Source organism: Homo sapiens, chromosome 12 (assembly GCF_000001405.40).
Source record: "Homo sapiens chromosome 12, GRCh38.p14 Primary Assembly".
NCBI lineage: Eukaryota > Metazoa > Chordata > Mammalia > Primates > Hominidae > Homo > Homo sapiens.
Window position 1 is genome coordinate 48723156 of NC_000012.12, and position 26711 is coordinate 48749866.

Here is a 26711-nt window from a genome sequence, read left to right on the forward strand (position 1 = left end):
TGAGTTTTGCTTCCAACAGGGAGAGAGAGAAGTTAGCCATTTTGAAATACACCCAGAGCATTCTGTGCTCCTTAACAAAGGCCTGCCTTCAAGGGAAACTGTTGAACAGAGCCTAACCAATGTGGGAGAAAGGATATACCCAACAGAAGCCTCCTCTTGTCTTCCTGTTTCATGTGAGAGAGGGAAAAAATGATACAGTTGTGAAGGTTACAGCCCAGGGATACACGTGCAATAAAAGACAGACCTAATAATAGAATTATGGAATCCTTTCCCCCCATCCACCTTAATAGGGCTCCTGTATAATAATGGGATTACAACTGAAAAAAACTGCAAGGCCCAGACCCTATTTCAGGAAGAGTCTCTAAGGAAAGTCAAAGAGCAAGGGAGGCAAAAACAAGGACACCAGAGGAAATTTTAGCATCTAACACGTACAGCTATAGCAAACAGTAAACACAACCTAATTCCTAGCCATATAAACTCAAAACCTGACCCTTACCCAATACATAATGTCCAACTTAAAACAATTATATGGCATGCTAAAATGTAAACAAACTATATATATATAATATATAATATGTATATATATATATAATGTGTGTGTGTATATATATATGTATATATATATATATATATATATATATATACATATATATATATAAAATCTAGAAAGACAAAGCAAGGCCAGGAGCAATGGCTCACGCCTGTAATCCCAGCATTTTGGGAGGCTGACGTGGGTGGATCACCTGAGGTCAGGAGTTCGAGACCAGCCTGGCCAACATGGCAAAACCCCATCTCTACTAAAAATACAAAAATTAGTTAGGCAATCGGCAGGCATATCACGAGGTCAAGAGATCGAGACCAGTCCCTCTCCCTCTCCCTCTCCCTCTCCCCACGGTCTCCCTCTCCCTCTCCCCACGGTCTCCCTCTCCCTCTCTTTCCACGGTCTCCCTCTGATGGCAAGCCGAAGCTGGACTGTACTGCTGCCATCTCAGCTCACTGCAACCTCCCTGCCTGATTCTCCTGCCTCAGCCTGCCGAGTGCCTGCGATTGCAGGCGCGCGCCACCACACCTGACTGGTTTTCGTATTTTTTTGGTGGAGACGGGGTTTCGCTGTGTTGGCCAGTCTGGTCTCCAGCTCCTAACCGCGAGTGATCTGCCAGCCTCGGCCTCCCGAGGTGCCGGGATTGCAGACGGAGTCTCGTTCACTCAGTGCTCAATGGTGCCCAGGCTGGAGTGCAGTGGCGTGATCTCGGCTCGCTACAACCTCCACCTCCCAGCCACCTGCCTTGGCCTCCCAAAGTGCCAAGATTGCAGCCTCTGCCCGGCCACCACCCCGTCTGGGAAGTGAGGAGCGTCTCTGCCTGGCCGCCCATCATCTGGGATGTGAGGAGCCTCTCTGCCTGGCTGCCCAGTCTGGAAAGTGAGGAGCGTCTCTGCCCGGCCGCCATCCCATCTAGGAAGTGAGGAGCCTCTCTGCCCGGCCGCCCATCCTCTGAGATGTGGGGAGCGCCTCTGCCCCGCCGCCCCGTCTGGGATGTGAGGAGCGCCTCTGCCCGGCCGCCCCGTCTGAGAAGTGAGGAGACCCTCTGCCCGGCAACCACCCCGTCTGAGAAGTGAGGAGCCCCTCCGCCCGGCAGCCACCCCTTCTGAGAAGTGAGGAGCCCCTCCACCCGGCAGCCACCCCGTCTGGGAAGTGAGGAGCGTCTCCGCCCGGCAGCCACCCCGTCCGGGAGGGAGGTGGGGGGTCAGCCCCCACCAGGCCAGCCGCCCCGTCCGGGAGGGAGGTGGGGGGGTCAGCCCCCCGCCTGGCCAGCCGCCCCACCCGGGAGGTGAGGGGCGCCTCTGCCCGGCCGCCCCTGCTGGGAGGTGAGGAGCCCCTCTGCCCGGCCACCACCCCATCTGGGAGGTGTACCCAACAGCTCATTGAGAACGGGCCGTGATGACAATGGCGGTTTTGTGGAATAGAAAGGGGGGAAAGGTGGGGAAAAGATTGAGAAATCGGATGGTTGCCATGTCTGTGTAGAAAGAGGTAGACATGGGAGACTTTTCATTTTGTTCTGTACTAAGAAAAATTCTTCTGCCTTGGGATCCTGTTGATCTGTGACCTTACCCCCAACCCTGTGCTCTCTGAAACATGTGCTGTGTCCACTCAGGGTTAAATGGATTAAGGGCGGTACAAGATGTGCTTTGTTAAACAGATGCTTGAAGGCAGCATGCTCGTTAAGAGTCATCACCACTCCCTAATCTCAAGTACCCAGGGACACAAACACTGAGGAAGGCCGCAGGGTCCTCTGCCTAGGAAAACCAGAGACCTTTGTTCACTTGTTTATCTGCTGACCTTCCCTCCACTATTGTCCTATGACCCTGCCAAATCCCCCTCTGCGAGAAACACCCAAGAATGATCAATAAAAAAATAAAAATAAAAAAATAAAATAAAAAATTAGTTAGGCAAGGTGGCAGACACCTGTAATCCCAGCTACTCAGGGGGCTGAGGCAGAAGAATTGCTTGAACCCAGGAGGCGGAGGTTGCAGTGAGCTGAAAACGTGCCCCTGCACTCCAGCCTGGGCGACAGAGTGAGACTCCATCTCAAAAAAGACAAATCAAGCATCAGAACCAGACTCACATATGGCAGAAATTTTGGAATTATCAGACTGAGATTTTAAAATAACTATTAACATGTTAAGGACACTAATGGAAAAAGAGGACAACATTCAAGAACAAAGGATGGAAAAAGAGGACAACATTCAAGAACAAAGGGCAACGTAAGCAGAGAGATGAAAACTCTAAAGAATCAAAAGGAAATGCTAGAAATAAAAAACACTGTAACAGAAATGCAGAATGCCTTTGGTGGGCTCATCAGTAGACTGGGCATGACAAAGGAAAAAAATCAGTGAGCTTGAAAATATGTCAATAGGAAACTTCCCAAACGGAAAAACAAAGAGAAAAACGAATGAAAAAAGAGTGGAATATCCAGATGCAATGGAAGTAAATAAACTCATGAGCATAGATAAGAGTAAAATAATCAGGAAGAGATGACTTGTTAGTATTTACTACTTTTATTTTATTTTATGACAAGATCTGGCTCTATTGCCAGTCTGGAGTGCAATGGCACAATCTCAGCTCACTGCAACCTCCACCACACAGGCTCAAGCCATCCTCCCACCTCAGCCTCCCAAGTAGCTGAGACTACAGTCACGTACCACACCCAACTAATTTCTGTGGGTTTTATTTTTTTGTAGAGACAGGGTTTCACCATGGTGCCCAGCCTGATTTCAAACTTGTGAGCTCAAGAGATCCATCTGTCTCGGCCTCCCAAAGTGGTGGGATTACAGGTGTGAGACACCACACCCGATGTACTACCTTTATTTTTAATATAACATTCAATTGTAAGTTTAGTTAATTTGATTTTTAATAATGCCTTGTTTAACAACCAATTCACAAAATCAATGAAAATTTAACAAGCTTTCAAAAGTCACTATGGATTGGCACACCACTGCTGAAACAAAGACTCATTGAAAGTATCCTATTCAGATTTCTTTTTTTTCCTGAATATAAGGCTGGATAACTATTAACATTTAAATACTGGTGGGGCGTGGTGGCTCACACCTGTAATCCCAGCACTTTGGGAGGCCGAGGAGGGCAGATCACTTGAGGTCAGCAGTTCAAGACCAGGCTGGTCAACCCTGTCTCTACCAAAAATACAAAAATTAGCCAGGTGTAGTGGCGCGCCCCTGTAATCCCAGCTACTCGGAAGGCTGAGGCATGAGGATCTCTTGAAACCTGGAGGCAGAGGTTGCAGTGAGCCGAGAAAGCGCCATTGCGCTCCAGCCTGGGCAACAGAGGGAGACTCTTAAAAAAAAAAAAAAAAAAAAAATTTAAGTTTCCATTATGTGTTGAACACCGTTCTAAGGAAATATGCATATATTATCTCATTTGATTCTCATAACTGTCAGATATTGTCATTGTCATTTTTTTAATTTAAAATTGAAAATGGAGGCTTAGTTAATCTATTCAAAGTCAGACACCTAGAATATGGCATAACTAAGATATGAGCCCAGGTCGGTGCTCTTTCTACTCACTGCCTTCTGAAGCTTACACTGGAAGACTAGGTCAAGAAAAGGTGTACTGACAATTGATTCCTCCATTTTCCTGAAGTTATTTAGCCCACTCCCACTCCAGCTCCACTGTGAACCTATAAATCCTGTGCCTCATTAGACAAAGGGAGTGTCAGTTGTGGTAATTCTTAGGACATTACCATGGTTACCAGGCACAGAGTCCAGTGCCCCAACCTGGACGTTCCAGAAGAGGCCAGGGAGGATCTGAGATGGCCTTCTTCAACTTGTATCTATTGGGATATCAAAATTCCTTTCAGAACAAGAAAAGGAACACAACTGAAGAAACAAGTAAGGGGAATATAGGGTAGAGGGTTAGAAGGGCCACTTCTTTACCTAGATGCTTCATAGCCACTTCCTAGCTATTTATTTTCCTACCTGGGGTTAGAGATTTATCCTCCAAGGCCAACAGTTACACTAGTTAAAATTGTGGAATAGGGACAATATCCTTTCAGCTTTGCTCTCCTGTCATTTAATATCCTTATTAAGACACACAATTTGGGCCAGGTGCAGTAGCTCACATGCAATTCCAGCAGTTTGGGAGGCTAAGGCAGGAGGATTGCTTGAGTCCAGGAGTTCAAGACCAGCCTGGGCAACATAGTAAGACCACATCTCTATGAAAAGTTACACAAATTAGCTGGGTGTGGTGGTGCATGCCTGTGGTCCTAGCTACTTGGGAGGCTGAAGTGGGAGAATCACTTGAGCCCAGGAGGTCAAGGATGAAGTGAGCCATGATCACACCACCGTACTCCAGCCTGGGCGACAGAGCGAAACCATCTCAAAAAAAAAAAAAGACACACAATTTGTTCAACCAAATAAGTGTATTCTTAGTCATTCGTTGGCTCATTTAACCAACATTTGTTAAGCACCAGGCTTTATGTGCCTGGCATTATGTTGGTGACTAGGGTTAAGACCTCTGCTATAAAGTGACTATCTGATGAGAAAGATAAGTGTGCAAACAAAAATTGCAATATATTGTATGATTACATTAAATATGGAATGTTCTAGAGCCACTAAGAAGGAAGTACCTGATACTATTGGATTTGGAATAAGAACGGGGGAGTGGAGGATGGGGGAATCCTTCAGAGAAGACTTCACACAGGAAATGCTTCCAGAACTGGGTGTTAAAGGATGATTGGCGTTCACTAAAAAGGGGATGGCCGGGTGCGGTGGCTCACGCCTGTAATCCCAACACTTTGGGAGGCCGAGGCGGGCGGATCACGAGGTCAGGAGATCAAGACCATCCTGGCTAACACGGTGAAACCCCGTCTCTACTAAAAATACAAACAATTAGCCGAGCGTGATGGCGGGCGCCTGTAGTCCCAGCTACTTGGGAGGCTGAGGCAGGAGAATGGTGTGAACCCGGGAGGCGGAGCTTGCAGTGAGCTGAAATCGAGCCACTGCACTCCAGCCTGGGCGACAGAGCGAGACTCTGTCTCAAAAAAAAAAAAAAAAAAAAAAAAGAAGGGGATATAGCACAGACAAAGGAACAGAGACCTAAGAGAGAACCATATTAAGTGAATTCCAAGTTCGTGGGTACACATAAAGGGTAAAGTGGAGAGGTGCTGGGAGGCAGACGTTGAAAACTAGGAAGGGGCCAGATAATTGAGGATGCTGTTAGCCATGCTAAGCATTTTAACTTTATAGACAGCCATTGAATTTTTAGTAGGCAGTGAGCAGATCTACATTAGATTCAAAATGCCTAGCCATGCCTCACACATAATAGAGGTTGCATAAATATTTGTAGGGTGAATGGATGAATAACTAAGTTTGAATAACTGTAAAACAGGAAGCTAGGGGAGGCTTTACAGGAGATATGACAATTGATTTACATCTTAAAAGATGAATTGTTGCCGGGCACTGCGGCTCACGCCTGTAATCCCAGCACTTTGAGAGACTGAGGCGGGCAGATCATGAAGTCAAGAGATCAAGACCATCCTGGCCAACATGGTGAAACCCCATCTCTACTAAAAATACAAAAAAAGAGCCGGGCGCGGTGGCTCACGCCTGTAATCCCAGCACTTTGGGAGGCCGAGATGGGCAGATCACAAGGTCAGGAGTTCGAGACCAGCCTGACCAACATAGTGAAACCCCGTCTCTACTAAAAATACAAAAAATAGCCGGGCGTGGTGGTGTGTGCCTGTAACCCCAGCTACTTAGGAGGCTGAGGCAGGAGAATTGCTTGAACCCAGGAAGTGGAGGTTGCAGTGAGCTGAGATTGAGCCACTGCACTCCAGCCTAGGTAACAGAGTGAGACTCCATCTCAAAAAAAAAATAAAATACAAAAAAAAATTAGCTGGGCATGGCGGTGCATGCCTGTAATCCCAGTGACCCAGGAGGCTGAGGCAGGAGAATCGCTTGAACCCGGGAGGCAGAGGTTGCAGTGAGCCGAGATCGCGCCACTGCACTTCAGCCTGGCAACAGAGCAAGACTCCGTCTAAAAAAAAAAAAAAAAAAAAGATTGTAAAGAACAATCTTACACAGGCCTCCATTGGTCATTCTCTGTCCTCTGCAATTCCATCAAAGAAGTTCTGTTTTACTATCCAGCTTCCAGGCAAGATTTGTACAAAGGGTACCCCTGATGGACCTTAGAGACTCCTTAATATCCTTATACAAGCCCTTCCCCTCCCAACCCCAACTGGGTCCCAGCATTATGCCATGGGACTGTTTTTATCTCCAAATAAAGAGGAGCTCTTCTCTACCCTCTTTCAGAAAAACAAACTCTTTGAGAAACCTACAAATTTCCCTTTTTCCAGGCCAAGATTAAGCCTCTCCTGGCTGCTCCAATCCTACCTACCCCTACTAGATAGAATTCTCTCACCATGAAGAAACTGAGTGTACAGCCGACCAATTGTCCTACCCAGTTAGCTACTTAAGCACTGTTGAACAAGACTTGATACTGATCCAAAGAGGCCTGGGCATCATTTCTTTATAGGCTAGACAAAGTGGAAGATTTTACTTTATAAAAATCAGAGCCCTCTGTGGGATGACGGAGAAGTATCCCGATATCATCTACTATCTAAGTTTTCTCATTCTGGTGACAGAAAATCAGAGGCAGGAGGTTTGGCCAAACCTGTGGAATGTAAGGTTGGAGGGAAGATTGAACATCAAATATGCCACCCCTACTCCCTGCTTGCTTCCCCTCCACCCCAATTTTATACCCTCCAGTTACTCTCGCAAAATATGGACAAAGGATTTCAACTTGCCAGTTTCTAATTAATCCATACTTTTGTTGGCTCAAGCACTTTATAATAAACAACTACTTATTATGCAGTATACCAGGCACTGTACTAAGCACGCTACATGCTTAATTTCATTTAATACTCTAACATTCCTGTGAAGTAGGTATTACTGTTCCCTTTTTATCAGTAAGAAAACTGAGGCTCAGGCCGGGCATGGTGGCTCACGCCTGTAATCCCAGCACTTTGGGAGGCCGAGGCGGGTGGATCACCTGAGGTCAGGAGTTCGAGACCAGCCTGGCCAACGTGGTGAAACTCCACCTCTACTAAAAATACAAAAATTAGCCAGGCGTAGTGGCACATGCCTGTAATCCCAGTTACTCGGGAGGCTGAGGCAGGAGAATTGCTTGAACCCAGGAGGCAGAGGTTGCAGTGAGGCGTGATCGCATCATTGCACTCCAGCCTGGGTGACAAAAGCAAAACTCTGTCCCCGCCCCCCAAAAAAAGAAAAGAAAACTGAGGTTCAAAGAGGTTAACTTACTTATGCAAGACCACAGCAATAGAGCCAGAATTTGATTCCAAATTGTCTAACTTATCTGTCTGTGCTCTTAAACACATTATTTATGAGGACAAATGATGCAGGTCTTTTTCCTGTAAGCAGGCCACTGTACAAATGATTGATGGTCAGCCTTTCTAGGTGAATCTGTTAACCCCCAAACCCTGAATTCAAATGTCAGTTGGGCTTTCATAAAGAATTACTCACGGCCGGGCACGGTGGCTCACGCCTGTAATCCCAGCACTTTGGAAGGCCAACGTGGGCGGATCATGAGGTCAGGAGATCGATACCATCCTGGCTAACACAGAGAAACCCCGTCTCTATTAAAAATACAAAAATTAGCCAGGTGTGGCAGCATGTGCCTGTAGTCCCAGCTGCTGGGGAGGCTGAGGCAGGAGAATGGCGTGAACCCGGGAGGCGGAGCTTGCAGTGAGCCGAGATTGCGCCACTGCCCTCCAGCCTGGGCGACAGAGCGAGACTCCATCTCAAAAAAAAAAAAAGAATTATTCACTTCTCCCCAGCAAGTGGTTCTTAGGAGCTCACCATTCACTGGCGCTAAATGGTAACTTTGCTAATGGCCAGAATTGTTGACTTAACTACTGTATAGAGTCAAAACCTTGCAGCCTCATCCCATAACCCCTGGGTAACTTCCTGAGAGTTAACAACATTCTACAACTTCAGAATAGTGTTCTGCAAGATAAAGAGTAACTGGATGTGTTCTTTCTGACCCCTCATCTCTCTCCCTCTCTCTCTTACATACACACACATCTGCATGCACGTCAGAGAATCATATAGTCCAACTACTATATGCAAATACCAAAACAATAGTTTGATTTGTTTCCTGTGTTTAAAACTCAAACTTTGGCCAGGCGCAATGGCTCACAACTGTAATCCCACCACTTTGGGAGGCTGATGCGGGCAGATCACTAGAGGCCAGGAATTCAAGACCAGCCTTACCAATATGGCAAAACCGCGTCTCTACTAAAAATACAAAAATTAGCCAGGGGTGGTGGCACACACCTGTAATCCTAGCTACTCTGGAGGCTGAGGCACGAGAATCTCTTGAACCTGGGAGGTGGAGGTTGCAACGAGCTGAGATTGCGCCACTGCACTCCAGCCTGGGCGATAGAGTAAGATTGTCTCAAAAAAAAAAAAAAAACATAAAAGCCCCTCAAACCCCATTGGAGTTATTGTTGAAAACTCAATATAGGAGTTCAAACATATTCTTCCAAAGAAAATAGGAATTTTCCTTCTGGGACAAGAATTTAGTGAAATCACCATTTGACATAGCAACCAGTTACCACTAATCCCATCCTTCTGAGAGGTATCTTGAACTAAATATGACCAATTTGTTGCTGGGGTCTGGCTCACCTAATCAGCACCTACAAATTCCTACCAACTACACACCCCTGGCATAATCTTGCTACTAGGCATCAAGCTAGCAAGCTTGGATCAATTAACAAATACTATATGATGAAAGTTGAGGCCTGGCACGGTGGCTCATACCTGTAATCCCAGCACTTTGGGAGGCCGAGGCGGGCAGATCTCCTGAGGTCAGGAGTTCGAGACCATCCTGGCCAACATGGTGAAACCCCGTCTCTACTAAAAATACAAAAATTAGCTGGGTGTGGTGACGGACGCCTGTAATCTCAGCTACTCGGGAGGCTGAGGCAGGAGAATCGCTTGAACCCAGGAGGTGGAGGTTGCAATGAGCCTAGATTGTACCATTGCACTCCAGCCTGGGCAACAAGAGCAAAACTCCATCTGAAAAAAAAAAAAGAAAGTTGAATGTAATTACAGTAGACTCATCACAGTCTAATCGTTTGTGAGTTAATTTTTTAAAAGATTAAATTGTGGCTGGGAGCGGTGGCTCACTCCTGTAATCCCAGCACTTTGGGAGGCCAAAGCTACTCAGGAGGCTGAGGCATGAGAATGGCTTGAACCTGGGAGGCTGAGGTTGTGGTGAGCCGAGACCGTGCCATTGCACTCCAGCCTGGGCAACAAGAGCAAAACTCCATCTCAAAAAAGAAAAGTTCAGTGTATGTCTTCTCTTGATCCACAAGTTAATCTTTTTTTTTTTTTTTTTTTTTAGACTGAGTCTCGCTCTTTCGCCCAGGCTGGAGTGCAGTGGTGCAATCTGGGCTCACTGCAACCTCTGCCTCCCAGTTTCAAACAATTCTCCTGCCTCAGCCTCCCGAGTAGCTGGTATTACAGGCACCTGCCACGCCACTTGGCTAATTTTTGTATTTTTAGTAGAGGTGAGGTTTCACCATGTTGGCCAGGCTGGTCTCAAACTCCTGACCTCAAGTGATCCTCCCACCTCGGCCTCCCAAAGTGCTGGGGTTACAGGTGTGAGCCACCAAGCCCAGCTCACATAGTGAACTTTAAATTTTACTTTGACTTAATATAGTAGTCCCTCCCTATTCATGGTTTTGTCTTCCAAGGTTTCCATTTTTCATGGTTGACTGTGATCCAAAAATATTAAATGGAAAATTCCCAAAGTAAACAATTTACAAATTTTACATTGTATGCCCTTCTGAGTAGAGTGATGAAATTTTGCACTTGGGAAAATCCCACTTGGGAAGAGAATCATCCCCTTGTCTAGCATATTCACTATCCACCTGTTACTGCTTGGAAAAAATATATAGTGTATATAGAGTTTGGTATCATCTGAAGTTTCAAGTATCCTCTGGGAGTCTTGGAATGTCTGGAATGTATACCAAGGATAAGAGGGGACTACTGTATGTGTAAATGCAGATTCTTTTTTTTTTTTTTTTTTTTTTTGAGATGGAGTGTCTCACTCTGTCGCCAGGCTGGAGTGCAGGGGCTCAGTCTCCGCTCACTGCAACCTCCACCTCCCAGGTTCAAGCGATTCTCCTGCCTCAGCCTCCCGAGTAGCTGGTACTACAGGCACATGCCACCACACCTGTCTAATTTTTATATTTTTTAGTAGAGACAGGGTTTCACCATGTTGGCCAGGCTGGTCTCGAACTCCTGGCCTCAAGTGATCCGCCTGCCTCGGCCTCCCAAAGTGCTGGGATTACAGACGTGAGCCATCCCCCGCCCAGCCTATGTGATGTATATTTATTTATCCATTTTGGGTGTTTTTTGTTTGTTTAGAGACAGGGTCTTGCTCTGTCACCCAGGCTAGAGTGCAATGACACTATTATAGCTTACTGCAGCCTCAAACTCCTGGGCTTAAGTGATCCTCCCACTTCAGTTTCCTGAATAGTTAGGAGTACAGGTATTGTGATACTCTAAGCAGAGCCCCACCCTGCTAATTTTTTTGTAAAGACGGGATCCCACTATGTTGCCCAGGCTGGTTACCAACTCCTGGCCTCAAGGAATCCTCCCGCCCCATCCTCCCAAAGTTCTGGGATTACAGGAGCAAGCCACTGTGCCCAGCTTCATTCTGGGTTTTATATATTGCCTTCCCATTACGACAGCTAAGAATTTAGCTTTCTTATACCACACACTTTCCATCCCCCACCCTTTTTCCAGTATAGGTATATCATAATTTTAGGTTCAAGATAGGCAGAATTCTAAGAATTATCCTCAATAAATCTTGCCTGTGTGTAATCACCTCCCTTTTGAGTGTGGGTAGAACCTCTGAAAAACTGAGATACCACTCTGTGATTGTTAATTTATATGGAATGAGGGAGAGTATCTGAATGAGCTTTATCTAATCACATAAACTCTTTAAAAGCAGAGAGTTTGGCCAGGCGCAGTGGCTCACGCCTGTAATCCCAGCACTTTGGGAGGCCAAGGCGGGCAGATCACTTGAGGTCAGCAGATCGAGACCATCCTGGCTAACATGGTGAAACCCTGTCTCTACTAAAAATACAAAAAAAATTAGCCAGGTGCGGTGGCGGGCGGCTGTAGTCCCAGCTACTCGGGAGGCTGAGGCAGGAGAATGGCATGAACCTGGGAGGCAGAGCTTGCAGTGAGCCGAGTAGCGCCACTGCACTCCAGCCTGGGCGAAAAAGCAAGACTCTGTCTCAAAAAAAAAAAAAAAAAAAAGAAGAGGAGGAGGAGGAGGAAGGAGGGGGCCACATGTCAAGGAATGCAAGCGGCCTTTAGGAGCTGAGAGTGGCCCCTGGCTGAGAGCCAGCAAGGCATCAGTCCTATAACCACCAGGAGCTAAATTCTGCCAACAACCTGAATGAGCCTGGAAGTAGATTCTTCTCTACAGTCTCTAGATAAGACCCTAGCCCAGCCAACCTTGATTTCAGCTTTGTGATACTCTAAGCAGAGAACTCAGTCAAGCCAGTCCAGCCTTCCGACCTACAGAACTGTGAGATTATAAATAGATGTTGTTTTCAGGCCGGGCACAGTGGCTCACACCTGTAATCCCAACTCTTCGGGAGGCCGAGGTGGGCAGATCACCTGAGGTCAAGAGTTTGAGACCAGCCTGGTCAACATGGTGAAACACCCTCTCTACTAAGGTGGCAGGTGCCTGTAATACCAGCTACTCAGGAGGCTGAGGCAGGAGAATCACTTGAACCCAGGAAGCAGAGGTTGCAGTGAGCTGATATTGCACCATTGCACTCCAGCCTAGGCAACAAGATCAAAACTCCATCTCAAAAATAAATAAATAAATACAAATCAATAAGGCTGGGCATGGTGGCTCACACCTGTAATCCCAGCACTTTGGGAGGCCAAGGAGGGTGGATCACCTGAGACCAGCCTGATCAACATGGCTAAATCCCGTCTCTACTAAAAATACAAAAATTAGCCAGGCGTGGTGACACATGCCTGTAATCCCAGCTACTTGGGAGGCTGAGGCAGGAGAATTGCTTGAACCCGGGAGGTGGAGGTTGTAGTGAGCCAAGATCATGCCATTGCACTCCAGCCTGGTTGTCAAAGGGAGACTCCCTCTCAAAATAATAATAATAATAATTAAGAAATAAAACAAAATAAAATAGATGTTTTCAGTCACTAAATTTATAATTTGTGATGCAGCAATAGAAAACTAATATGATATTAAATCAGTAGTCTTGTAGTCTTACAACTATGTAAAAAAGTTTCACTGCTAAGCCAAATAATGTCACTGTAACTTTTCCTTTCATTTTTCCTATCCCTAGAAACTTTTTGTTTATCCCTAGAGTTAAGAATTCCTGGCCTCCATGGTAGCTCACGCCTGTAATCCCAGGACTTTGGAAGCCCGAGGTGAGTGGATTCCTTGAGCCCAGGAATTAGAGACCAGGATGAACAACATGGGGAAACCTCGTCTCTACCCCGCAAAAAAACACACGAAAATTAGCCAGGCGTGGTGATGCATGGCTGTAGTCCCAGCTACTCTGGAGGCTGAGGTGGGAGGATTGCTTAAGCCCGGGAGACAGAGGTTGCAGTGAGCTGAGATTGCCCACCACTGCACTCCAGCCTGGGCAACAGAGTGAGACTCTGTCTCAAAAAAAAAAAAAAAAAAAAAAGAATTGCCATCATGTTTTCATTTGTTGGTTCTATATGTACTGATTGTTACTTCTTTCCCCAATACTTCAACAGCTCTGCCAAAAGCCCAATGATATTTTTTCAATCACTCAAAACACAGCAATCTGTCAGTTCCATTTTTTCCCAAACTGCCTATCCTACTGTAGTCTAGACTGTTCATTCTCAAAGCCTGTTGCATAATTATTGTCCTGGGACTTGCTTTTGCCTCTCTCCAAGGTAGTATTCCCTGTTTCCTGGGTCGCATGTTTTTTTTTTTTTCTTGGCTTACTCCCTCCTGTTCCTGCAATATGCCAAGAAGCTTTATAAGAATGCATAGGAGGTATGTTTATGAGTCCAGAATGGCCTTATTCTATACCCTCACACTTGATTGACAGTTTTTCCAGATAGGGAATTCTAGGTTGAAAATCATTCTCTGAAAATTTTGAAGCTATGTTTTTATTGTCCTCTAGCTTCCAGTTACATTCCTTTGTATGTAACTAATTCATTTCTTTCTGGAAGCTTTTTTTTTTTTCTGAGATAGGGTCTTGCTCTGTCGCCCATGCTGGAGTGCAGTGGCAAAATCTTGGCTCACTGCAACCTCTGCCTCCTGGGCTCAAGCGATCCTCCCACCTCAGCCTCCTTAGTGGCTGGAACTGCAGGCACACACCACCATGCCTGGCTAATTTTTTGTATTTTTTCTAGAGATGGGGTCTTGCCATGTTGCCCAGGCTGGTCTCAAACTCCTGCAATCAAGCAATCTGCTTGCCTTAGTCTCCCAAAGTGCTAGGATTACAGGCGTGAGCCACATCGCCCGGTCTCTGGAAACTTTTGATTTTCTTTTTGATCCGTAGTATTCTGAAATTTCAAAATGATGGAATTTATTGTAAGTCTTTTTTCATTCATTGTTATGAACACTCCATGAGCTCTTTCATTCTGGAAATTTATGCTTTCCATTTCTGAGAAATTTTATTTTAATTTTTAATTTTTTTTTTTTTTTTGAGATGGAGTCTCACTCTTATCACCCAGGCAGGAGTGCAGTGGCGTGATCTCGGCTCACAACAATGTCCGCCTCCTGGGTTCAAGCGATTCTCGTTACTCAGTCTCCCATGTAGCTGGGATTACAGGCACCTGCAACCATGTCTGGCTGATATTTGTATTTTTAGTAGAGACAGGGTTTCTCCATGTTGGCCAGGCTGGTCTCGAACTCCCTACCTCAGGTGATCCACCCGCCTCGGCCTCCCAAAGTGCTGGGATTACAGGCGTGAGCCACCGTGCCCAGCCTTAATTTTTAATTTATTGCTTCCTTTATTCTTTTTCAAACTACCATTTGTCAGCTATAAAGTCTCCCAAATTGATCTTCTAACATTAATCTTGATATTATTATCATTATTATTAATCACTATTTTTGAGACAGGGTCCTGCTCTGTCACCCAGGATGGAGTGCAGTGGAACGATCATGGCTCATTGCAGCCCCAACCTCCCAGGCTCAAGCGATGCTCCCAGCTCAGCCTCCCTGAGTAGCTGGGACTACAGGTGCAGGCTACCATGTCTGGCTAATTTTTGTATTTTTTAGTACAAACGGAGTCTCCCTATGTTGCCCAGGATGATCTTGAACTCCTAAGCTCAAGCAATCTGCCCACTTTGGCCTCCCAAAGTGCTGGGATTACAGGCGTGAGCCACCATGTCTGGCTTAATTTTATTTATCTTCATCATCATTATTATTATTTATTCTTTGGAAGGCTTCCTTAATTTTATCTTGCAACCTTGTGTTATTTAGCTATTGCTGTATAACAAATTACCCTAAAATATACAGGCTTATAACAGCAAATATTTATTATTTTACTGTTTCTGTTAATTCAGAAGCAACTTATCTCGATAATTCTGGCTCAGAATCTCTCACATGGTTGCAGACAGGATGTCAGCAGGGGCTGTAGCCATATAATGGTTGGAGATTGGGTGGGGGCTGAAGGAGCCATTTCCAGGATATCTGGTGGCCCCAGTTTCTCTGTGGGTATTGACAAGACACCCCAGTTTCTCACCATATGGGCCTCTCCATAAGCTGTTTGAGTATTCTTATATGGCACCTAACTTTCTTTCTTTTTTTTCTTTTTTTTTTTTTGAGATGGAGTCTCACTCTGTCCTCCAGGCTGGAGTCCAGTGGCGCGATCTTGGCTCACTGCAAGCTCCGCCTCCGGGGTTCATGCCATTCTCCTGCCTCAGCCTCCCGAGTAGCTGGGACTACAGGCGCCCGCCACCACGTATGGCACCTAACTTTCTTCAGAGCAAGTGATCAGAAAGAAGGGAGACAAAATGCATTTTTATGACTTAGTCTCAGAAGTGACTGTCACTTCACTTTTTCTATTTGTTAGAAGAGAATTACTAAATCCAGCCCATACCCAAGGGAAGGGGAACTAAGCTCCACTTCTTGAGGGGAGGTATATCAAAGGATTTGTGGAAATATGTGAAAACCAGCACACCTTCATATCAGAACTTTTTTTTTTTTGCTTTTTTTTCTTCATGAAGAAGATAAGAACATTTTACCTTGGTTATTATATTTTAATTTCCAAGGACCATTTTTGGTCCTCTGATTTTCCTTTGTTATATTTTCTGTCTTTTCTCCATGAATATATACTTTATTTGAAATTCTCTTCTTTTCCTTGCATTGACTCTTTTTCCCTCTGAGCCCTTTTTCCTATGAGTTTATTTTGGTCTCTGTTTTTCTCAGTGATTACTCACCTCAAATAACTAGTGATCCTTGGCTTTCCATTCTGATTTAAGGGTAAGAAACAAAAAAAAGCTAACTAGAAGCTGATGGAGGGAGTTGTCCATTATGGGCTTCATTCCAGAGCTTTCCTCTGGCTCTCTATAATTTCTCTGGGGAAGAATCCTATTATTCCTTCTCTGGGTATTGGTTATATGTTTATCTACTAGCATGCTGCAGCTAGGACAGAAGAAGGTATTGAGGGTCTTAATTTTGAGGATCCTGACTTTTTTAACTTAATCACCAGATTTTCTGTCCTATACCTGTGCCAGCTATATTAGTCAGTTCTCACATTGCTTTAAAGAATTACCTGAGACTGAGTAATTATAAAGAAAAGATGTTTAACTGTCCCATGGTTCTACAGGCTGTACAGGACGCATAGCCGGGGAAGCCTCAGGAAACTTACACTCATGGTGGCAGGCAAAGGGGAAGCAGGCATGTCCTACGTGAATGAAGTAGGAGAAAAAGAGAAGAGAGAAGGGGTGGGTGGGTGGTACTATACGCTTTTAAACAACTAGATCTTGTGAGAACTCACTATCACGAGAACAGCAAGTGGGAAATCTGACCCCATGATCTAATCACCTTCCACCAGGTCCCTCCTCCAACACTGGAGATTACAATTCGACACGAGGTTTGGGTAGGGACATAAATCCAAACCATATCACCAGCCTTCACAGTGAATCCTGTGATTCCTCAGATGAATTAGCTCAATTCTAGATGTATCCTCCACTACAGAAACTTAGGTAACAACATTCTTTACTCTGTTAGGTTAATTGCCACCCTTCTGTCCACTTTGCATTTTCCAAAAGATATTTCTACTGAAATATCTCATATGCTCTTATATCCTTGACCACTCTCTTTGCCCTTGAAGGTTAATATCATTGTGATGATGATGATGATGATGTCATTTTAGCAAATTTGGGAGGAAAAGGAAATAAAGCCAATAAGGTCAATCTACCATTTTAAAAAACTTTTCTTGCTAATGTAACTTCAAAATTATAGAAAATGTGTAAGACTTGTAAAAAGAATTTCTCTACACCCTTTACCCAAGTTAACTCATTGTTAATTTTGCCACTCTCTTTTTTGCTTTGTCTCTACTATAATATCTATTTTTTCTCAGATAGTTGAGAATAAGTTGCTCATATTATATCTCTTTCCCTCTAAATAAGCTTGTATCTCCTAACAACAACTCACCATGTAGGTATCAAATTCAGCAAATCTTAACACTGATACAATGCTGTTATATAATTACCTACAGTGCATTTCTCAGTTTTGCCAATTGTTTCATAAATGTCTCTCTTTTTTTTTTTTTTTTTCAGACAGGGTCTCACTCTGTCTCCCAGGCTGCAATGCATTGAGGTGATCATGGTTTACTGCAGCCTTGAGCTCCTGGACTCAAGCGATTCTCCCACCTCAGACTCCCAAAGTGCTGGAATTATAGGCATGAGCCACCACACCTGGCCAACTTTTTTTTTTTTTTTAAGAGAGGAGATCTCAGCCTGGCCAACGTGGTGAAACCCAGTCTCTGCTAAAAATACAAAAATTAGCCAGGCATGGTGGCCGGTGCCTCTAATGCTAGCTACTCAGGAGAATGAGGTGGGAGGATTGCTTGAACCTGGGAGATGGAGGTTGCTGTGAGCCCAGATCACGCCACTGCACTCCAGCCTGGGTGACAGAGTGAGACTCTATCTTAAAAAATAAAAATAAAAGAGATGAGGTCTCGCTATGTTGCCCAGACTGGCCATTAATGTCTTTTAGAGCAAAATTTTTCCTTCCAGGATCCAGTTAAGGATCAAGCATTGCATTTAGTGAGCGTGTCTCTTTAGTCTCCTTTAATCTGGAATAGTTCCTCCACCTTCGTTTCATGATATTGACTTTTTTTTTTTTTTTTTTTTTGAGATGGAGTTTTGCTCTTGTTGCCCAGGCATACAATGGCTCACCACAACGTATGCAGTCCAGGTTGAAGCGATTCTCCTGCCTCAGCCTCCCAAGAATTACAGGCATGTGCCACCAGGCCTGGCTAATTTTGCATTTTTAGTAGAGATGGGGTTTCTCCATGTTGGTCAGGCTGGTCTCAAACTCCCAACCTCAGGTGATCCACCCACCACAGCCTCCCAAAGTGCTGGGATTACAGGCATGAGCCACCATGCCTGGCCAATACTGACATTTTTGTAATAGTATAGGCAAGACATTGTGTAGAATATTCCATAATTTGGATTTTTCTGATGTTTCTCATGATTAGATTGAGTTTAAACATCTTTGGCAGGAATAAGCGACATTATATCTTCAGTCCATCATATCGGGAGGCTCATGATGTCATTTGGTCCCATTACTGGTAATGTGAACTTTGACCACTAAAGGTGTAATTATTGGTTTTCTTCACTGTCAAGTTACCATTCTTCTTTTGTAACCAATAATTTCTGATAAGATTCTTTGGAAAAATGTAAGTATTCTTTTTTTTTTTTTTTTTACAAGGTGTCACTCTGTTGCTCAGGCTTGAGTGCAGTGGCACAATCACAGCTTACTGCCTTGACCTCCAGACTCAAGCAATTCTCTAACCTCAGCCTTCCAAGTAGCTGGGACTACAGATGCACACCACCACACCCAGCCAATTGTTTTGATTTCTAGTAGAGGCAAGGTCTCGCTATGTTGTCCAGGCTATTCAAATTCCTGAGCTCAAGCGATTCTCCCGCCCCAGCCTCCCTAAGTAGTGGCATTACAGGCGTGAGCCATTGCACCCAGCCAACTACCCTATTCTTCATCAAACTTTCACCCACTGATTTTAGTATCCATTGATGGTTTTGTGTGAATCTGTTATTTCTGTGATAATTGCAAAATGGTGATTTTCTAACTCCAATCCATTTTAACTCAAAGTTTACTACAATTTTAAAAAAAATTTTTTGTAGACACAGGGTCTCACTTGTTGCCCAGGTTGGTCTCGAGCCCCTGGCCTCAAGCAATCCTTCTGCCTGGTACAAGCACAGATTACAGGCATAAGCCACCTCACCTAGCCCCCAGCTTTTAAGTGACCCACCTTTTCTGAGTTTTTCCAAAACATTCAGCTTCATTTTTCTTTTCTTTTCCTTTTTTTTTTTTTTTTTTTTTGAGACGGAGTCTCACTCTGTCGCCAAGGCTGGAGTACAACGGCACGATCTCGGCTCACCGCAACCTCCACCTCCCAGGTTCAAGCGATCCTCCTGCCTCAGCCTCCTGAGTAGCTGGGATAACAGGCGCCTGCCACCACACCCGGCTAATTTTTGTATTTTCAGTAGAGACGGGGTTTTACCATGTTGGTCAGGCTGGTCTCAAACTCCTGACCTCGTGATCTGCCTACCTCAGCCTCCCAAGGTGCTAGGATTACAGGCCCGTGCCCGGCCTCAGCTTCATTTTTATAAAAGCCACTGCCAGGCCAGGCGCAGTGGCTCACACCTGTAATCTCAGCACTTTGGGAGGCCGAGGCGGGTGGATCACCTGAGGTCAGGAGTTCGAGACCAGCGCTGGACCAACATGGAGAAACCCCATCTCTACTAAAAATACAAAATTAGCCGGGCATGGTGGCTCATGCCTGTAATCCCAGCTACTCAGGAGGCTGAGGCAGGAGGATCGCTTGAACCCAGGAGGCAGAGGCTGCGGTGAGCCAAGATCCTGCCATTGCACTCCAGACTGGGCAACAAGAGCAAAACTCCATTTAAAAAAATAAATAAATAAAAATAAAAGAAAAGCCACAGCCCTTTTTCTCCACACATATTCCATCAGTTCAAATATTTCATTTGTCTGGGTGTAGTGGCTCACGCCTATAATCCCAGCACTTTGGAGGCTGAGGTGGGCCAATTGCTTGAGCCCAGGAGTTCAAGACCAGCCTGGGCAACATGGTGCCTGTCTCTACTAGAAACCCTGTCTCTACTAAAAATACAAAAATAAGGCTGGGCGTGGTGGCTCATGCCTGTAATCCCAACACTTTGGGAAGGTGGGCAAATTACTTGAGGTCAGGAGTTCAAGATCAGCATGGCCAACATGGCAAAACCCCATCTCTACTAAAAAAAAAAAAAAAAAGTCAGGCGTGGTGGCAGGCACCTGTAGTTCTAGCTACTTGGGAGGCTGAGATGGGAAGATTAAGGCTGCAGTGAGCCATGATGGCACCACTGCACTCCATCCAATGTGGGTGGCAGAGCAAGACCTTGTCTCAAAAAAACCTAAAACTAAAAACAAACAATCAAATATTATTTCATTAAATTACAAAATTGCAGGTACATGGTAAAACTAGCATAAATTGTCGGGAGAGAAGGGGAATCACAACTCACTTTTGGCAAGCATGAATTAAAACTTGAGAGGCTGGCCATGGTGGCTCACACCTATAATCCTGGCACTTTGGGAGGCCAAGGCGGGCAGATTGCCTGAGCTCAGGAGTTCAAGACCAGCCTGGGCAACATGGTGAAATCCCATCTCTATTAAAAATACAAAAAATAGCCAGCTGCTGTGGCTCACGCCTGTAATCCCAGCACTTTGGGAGGCCAAGGCGGGCGGATCGCCTGAGGTCAGGAGTTCAAGACCAACATGGTAAAACTGCACCTCTACTAAAAATACAAAATTAGCTGGGCGTGGTGGCAGGTGCCTGTAATCCCAGCTACTCAGGAGGCTGAGGCAGGAGAATCACTTGAACCCGGGAGGTAGAGGTTGCAGTGAGCTGAGACAGCGCCATTTGCACTCCAGCCTGGGGAACAAGAGCAAGACTTCGTCTCAAAAAAAAAAAAAAAAAAAAAAAAAAAAAATTGGCCAGGCACGGTGGCTCATACCTGTAATCCTAGCACTTTGGGATGCCGAGGCAGTGCCGATCACCTGAGGTTGGGAATTCGAGACCAGCCTGACCAACATGGAGAAACCCCATCTCTACTAAAAATATAAAAATAGCCGGGCATGGTGGAGCATGCCTGTAATCCCAGCTACTCAGGAGGCCGAGGCAGGAGAATCGCTTGAACCTGGAAGGTGGAGACAGTGGTGAGCCGAGATCGTGCCATTGCACTCCAGCGTGGGCAACAAGAGTGAAGCAACCTCTCAAAAAAAAAAAAAAAAAAAGTGTGGTACACGCCTGTAATCCCAGCTACTTGGGAGGCTGAGGCATGAGAATCGCTTGAAACCAGGAGGTAGAGATTGCAGTGAGCTGAGATCACGCCACTGTACTACAGCCTGGGTGACAGAGTGAGACTCTGTTTTCCAAAAATAAACAAACAAACAAAAGACTTGTGGGCACTTGTGGGCTGGCCAGGTGCAGTGGCTCATGCCTGTAATCCTGGCACTTTGGGAGGCTGAGGTTGGCAGATTGCCTGAGTTCAGGAGTTTGAGGCCAGCCTGGCCAACATTGTGAAACCCCATCTCTACTAAAAATACAAAACTTAGCTGCATGGTGGCACACACCTGTAATCCCACCTACTCAGGAGAATTGCTTGAACCCGGGAGGCGGAGGTTGCAGTCAGCCAAGATCGTGCCACTGCACTTTAGCCTGGGCGACAAGAGTGAGATTCCATCTCAAAATAATAATAATAATAATAAAGAAGAAGAAGATGGGGGAGGAGGAGGAAGAGGAAGAGGAGGGGGAGGAGGAGGGGAAAGAAGAAGAAAAAGGAAGAAGAAGAAGAAAGAAGAAGAAAAAAAGAAGAAAGCAGAAAGAAAAGGAAAAGAAAAGAAAGAAAAAGAAGCAGCAGCAGCAATGGTGATGTACAAAAGAGGAAGCCATAGATCAATGTAAATATAAATGAACAAACCCACTGGCAGATCAAATTTAAAAATATATTAAAGAGGCCGGGCGTGGTGGCTCACGCCTGTAATCCCAGCACTTTGGGAAGCCGAGGCGGGTGGATCACGAGGTCAGGAGATGGAGACCATCCTGGCTAACAAGGTGAAACCCCGTCTCTACTAAAAATACAAAAAAATTAGCCAGGCTTGGTGGCGGGCGCCTGTAGTCCCAGCTACTTGGGGTTGGGGGGATTGAGGTAGGAGAATGGCTTGAACCCAGGAGGCCAAGCTTGCAGTGAGCCGAGATCATACCACTGCACTCCAGCCTGGGGGGCAGTGTGAGACTCCATCTCAAAAAAAAAAAAGAGAATAAAAAGATGTTTCTTAGCATAATAAACACCTCCCACCTCACCTCACATCATACACAAAAATAAATTCCAGAGGCTGAGGCAGGCAGTTCATTTGAGGTCAGGAGTTCGAGACCAGCCTGACCAACACGGTGAAACCCCGTCTCTACTAAAAATACAAAAAAATTAGCTGGGCTTGGTGGTGCATGCCTATAGCCCAGCTACTTGGGAGGCTGAGGCCGGAGAATCACTTGAACTCAGGAGGCGGATATTGCAGGGAGCCGAGATTGCACCTCCCAGCCTGGGTGACAGAGTAAGACTTTGTCTCAATCAATCAATTTCAGATGAATTAGAGAGTTCAATAAATCAAACTACAGAAATATTAGAAGAAAACATAGAATATTTGCATATTCTTAGCAGGGTTTTGCAAATCTTTCTTTATTAGACATTAAGCCCAGATGCCTAAAAGAAAATACTGACAGTTTTTACTAAAAAATTATTTAATTGTGTATCAAAAGACATCATAAAGTTAAAATCAAGAGAGACACTGAGTGAAAATATTTGCCATATATAGATGGGTGTATATCTACATGCACATATACTCACATATATAAACCCATACATACTTATATATTCGTATGTATAAATCATGTATGCAATAATATTAACAATATATAAAAAGCTTCTAAGTAAAGCACCAAGCCAGACTCCCCCTCTAATCCAACATCAATTATTTATTTATTGGGAATTGATTGTGCCAGCCACTGTGTAAGACACTGGAAATACAACAGTGATTAACACAGACAATAAAACTAGTAAATAAATAAACAAGATACAAATTGTGCCCAGAGCTAGGGAGAAAATAAAGGGGCAATGCAATAGAACAGAAGTCCTAAACTGCTGGCCTGGGGGCCAGATGTAGCCTGATGACATGCTCAGCTTGCAGAGTGCTTTTTTAAAAAAAATTTAGACCAACATCTAAAAATCCAGAGATTTTATGTAAAACCAACATTTCTGACTTCTCTTTAAAAATTAGATTTGGGGGCCGGGCACAATAGCTCACACCTGTAATCCAAGCACTATAATTCCTTTTTTTTTTTTTTTTTTTTTTTTGAGATGGTGTCTCGCTCTGTTGCCCAGGCTGGAGTGCAGTGGCACAATCTCGGCTCACTGCAACCTCCGCCTCCCAGGTTCAAGCAATTCTTCTGCCTCAGCCTCCTAAGTAGCTGGGATTACAGGAGCCTGCCACCACGGCCAGCTAATTTTTGTATTTTTAGTAGGGACGGGGTTTCACCATGTTGGTCAGGCTGATCTCGAACCCCTGACCCCGTGATCCACCTGCCTTGGCCTCCCAAAGTGCTGGGATTACAGGCTTGAGCCACCATGCCCAGCCTATCCAAGCGCTTTGGAAGGCCAAGGTGGGTGGATCATCTGAGGTCAGGAGTTTAAGACCAGCCTGGCCAACATGGCGAAACCCTGTCTCTACTGAAAATACAAAAATTAGCTGGGCATGGTGGTGCATGCCTGTAATCCCAGCTACTCGGGGGGCTGAGGCAGGAGAATCACTTGAACCCGGGAGGCGGAGTTTGCAGTGAGCTGACCTTGTGCCACTGCACTTTAGGTTGGGCAACAAAGTGAGACTCTGTCTCAAAAAAAAAAAAAATTAGATTTGGCCACACTGGCCCTAAACTGTGGCTGTAAATGACAACAAACAGCTAGAATAAAGTAGCAGCTTCCCCTTCAGATGGTACAGTTTTCTTACCCAGCTTGCTTTACTCATAAGCATTATCTGCCTGGCCCTTACAGACAACTGAGTTTGAAAGTGCCGTAATGAGGAGTAACTTGGAGAGGCCCACTTTATTTTACTTTACTTTTTTAACTTTTATTTTTTATTTTTTTTTGGAGAGGCAGGGTCTCCTTATGTTGCCCAGGCTGGTCTTAAACTGGGCTCAAGTGATCCTCCTGCCTCATCCTCCTCAAATGCTGAGATTACAGGCATGAGCCACCATGCCCAACAAGAGGCCCTCTTTAGACAGAGAATTCAATGAATTAATGTTTAAGCAACAGCCTGAAGAATGAGGAGCTTGTCATGTATAGAGCTAAGCCTAGGGCTTCATCTTCATAAGAGCAGATTCAAAATTGAGAAAAAATTCAAAGCCAAAACTGTAGCAGGTTACCTCCACCTCCCACTTTGATCAGACTGCTTTCATTGCATCCCAGCCTTGAAATTCATCTCCCAGTTCTGACAGCCTTTTTAATAGTGCAGACCCTAACATAGCTATGCACTGTGCCCATCATCCATGATCTCATAACAAAAGGAACCATAGAATAGTATTTCTAATGCCACTATCCTTTTCACAAAGACATTCAGGCAACTTGGCTACCCTCTGCCAAGTTTGGCTACCCTCTGCCAAGTTTTGCTTCAACCATATCATTCAATCTTCCACCTGAAAATTACATTCAATGGTAATTTTGTTCTATTCCTAGTATTTTCTTGAAGCCACTTGAATTGCCCCAGAGTTGAAGTCTGTGCTCACATGGCCAAGCTGTGAGACACATAGGCTGACTTCTGGGAGTTCATTATAAGGCCATGAAAAGTGTTGTGCTCCAGAGACACCTGTCGAGACAAAGGTGACTGTATTTGGCTTTTATCTAAGATGTTTAGTCTTCCTAGAGTGATGAGTACCATAACCACAGATGTCAAGTGGGAACTCAGGGCAGCCTGACAATCCTATCATATTCCCCTAGTCACTCTCCCAATCCTCAAGTCAACTATTTCACATCTCCCTCCTTGAATCTCTGAAGCCCCTCTCCCATTCTCACTCTGAGCTAACTTCCTTGCTCCTTATTTCACTAAGAAAATTAGAAGGAATCAGAGACTTTCCATCATCCCATTTAACATTCCACTCCATTCCCTCTGGTTCAATGAATAAACTGGTTCCTTTTGTGTACTGGAGCCCATCCCTTCTCATCTACTCAAAGATTTTGCTCCTAAAACTATCATCTTCTCCCTCAGGATTCTCCTTCTTTCCAGATCATTTCCATCAGTATACAAATATGCTATAATCTCTTTCATCTGGCAAGGGAAGGGCAAGGGAAGAAACCTCCCTTGACCACGTGGTCCCCTCAAGTTATTGCCCTCATTTCTTTCTCCACCCTCCTCTCCCCACTACCATCCTGATTATATCAAAATTCCTGGAAAGAGAAGTTTATACTCACGGTCTAGAAAAAAAAAAAAAAGCATGCCAATTGCCCTTGCTTTAAATTCATGATCACCAAACTCAAGCGGGTCTTGTTGTCCGCTTGAGTTTAGTGATTATCGCTGCCCAGAAGTCAAACTACATTTCCTGGTTCCATTCACTCTCCTAGTCTCCTGGAGGCCTTTTCCTACCTTCTCCTGTTTCTTCAAACCTCCAACACCTCCTCCCCCATCCTCATTCTCACATAATGAGTTGCCTTCTATTTCACAGAGAAAACAGAAGCAATTGGTAGATAATTTCCATAAGCTATCACAAACCACATCTATCCATCTACCTGCATCTGTGCCCATATATCTCCTATTATCATGAATGAATGGCCCACGCACCTATTAAGACAAACCCCCTCCATTTTTGACCAGATCCCATTTCTTTTTGCCTTCTCCAAAACACCACTCCAATAATTCTTCTCACTCTTGCATTAATTTGTCCATCTATAATTTCCTCTTCTGGCTGAGCCCAGTGGCTCACACCTGTAATCCCAGCACTTTGGGAGGCCAAGGCGGGTGGATCACTTGAGGCCAGGAGTTCAAGACCAACCTGACCAACATGGTGAAACCCCATCTCTACTAAAAATACAAAAATTAGCTGGGCGTGGTGGTGCACGCCTGTAGTCCTAGCTACTTGGGAGGCTGAGGCAGGAGAATCGCTTGAACCTGGGAGGCAGAGGCTGCAGTGGGCTGAGATCATGCCACTGCACTCCAGCCTGGGTGACAGAGTGAGACTCAGTCTCAAAAAAAAAAAAAAATCTTCTTCCATCTTAAAACCCCTCATTTCCTATTTCTCTGTTCCCCGTAGACATAAGAGTTGTCTGTTTTGGCTGGGCGCGGTGGCTCATGCCTGTAATCCCAGCACTTTGGGTGGCCGAGGCAGGTGGATCACTTGAGGTCAGAAGTTCAAGATCTACCTGACCAAAATGGGGAAACTCTGTCTGTACTAAAAATAAAAAATTAGCCGGGCATGGTGGCGTATGCCTGTAATCCCAGCTACTCAGGAGGCTGAGGCAGGAGGCAGGAGAATTGCTTGAACCCAGGAGGCAGAGCTTTCGGTGAGCCAAGATCATGCCATTGCACTCCAGCCTGGGCAACAAGAGTGAAACTCGGTGTCAAAAAAAAAAAAAAAAAAAAAAAAAAGAGTTGTTTTTTCTGTCTCTGGTTCTTCTTCTTCTTTTTTTTTTTTTCCAGATGGAGTCTTGCCCTGTTGCCCAGGCTGGAGTGCAGTGGCCCAACCTCAGCTCACTGCAAGCTCTGCCTCCCGGGTTCATGCTATTCTACTGCCTTAGCCTCCTGAGTAGCTGGGACTACAGGCACCCGCCACCATGCCCAGCTAAGTTTTTGT

General features: G+C 45.1%; 1 protein-coding gene across 5 annotated transcripts in view, besides 1 other annotated feature; it reads left to right on the forward strand.

Moving 5' to 3' along the window:
* Nucleotides 466-1140: an enhancer, noted in NCBI's record as "H3K27ac hESC enhancer chr12:49117404-49118078 (GRCh37/hg19 assembly coordinates)". NCBI's record gives its function as "activates a minimal SCP1, AML or CMV promoter by ChIP-STARR-seq in naive H9 embryonic stem cells {active_cell/tissue: H9 hESC(naive)}" and the evidence as "EXISTENCE:reporter gene assay evidence [ECO:0000049][PMID:30033119]".
* The window catches only part of SPMIP11 (sperm microtubule inner protein 11), a 44025-nt gene continuing 21593 nt past the window's right edge, over nucleotides 4280-26711 (forward strand). For 2 of the 5 annotated variants that reach the window (XR_002957306.2, NM_001351123.2), the window contains exon 1: nucleotides 4280-4404. Coding sequence is in view for 4 of the 5 variants with exons in the window: in NM_001351123.2 (NP_001338052.1) it covers nucleotides 4326-4404 (79 nt within the window). In the remaining variant the exon portion in view is untranslated. Of the gene's footprint in view, nucleotides 4405-12932; nucleotides 13018-18281; nucleotides 18375-26711 lie in introns of all 5 variants that reach the window. The other 3 variants (NM_001351125.2, XM_024448926.2, XM_024448927.2) reach the window with 3 other exon arrangements.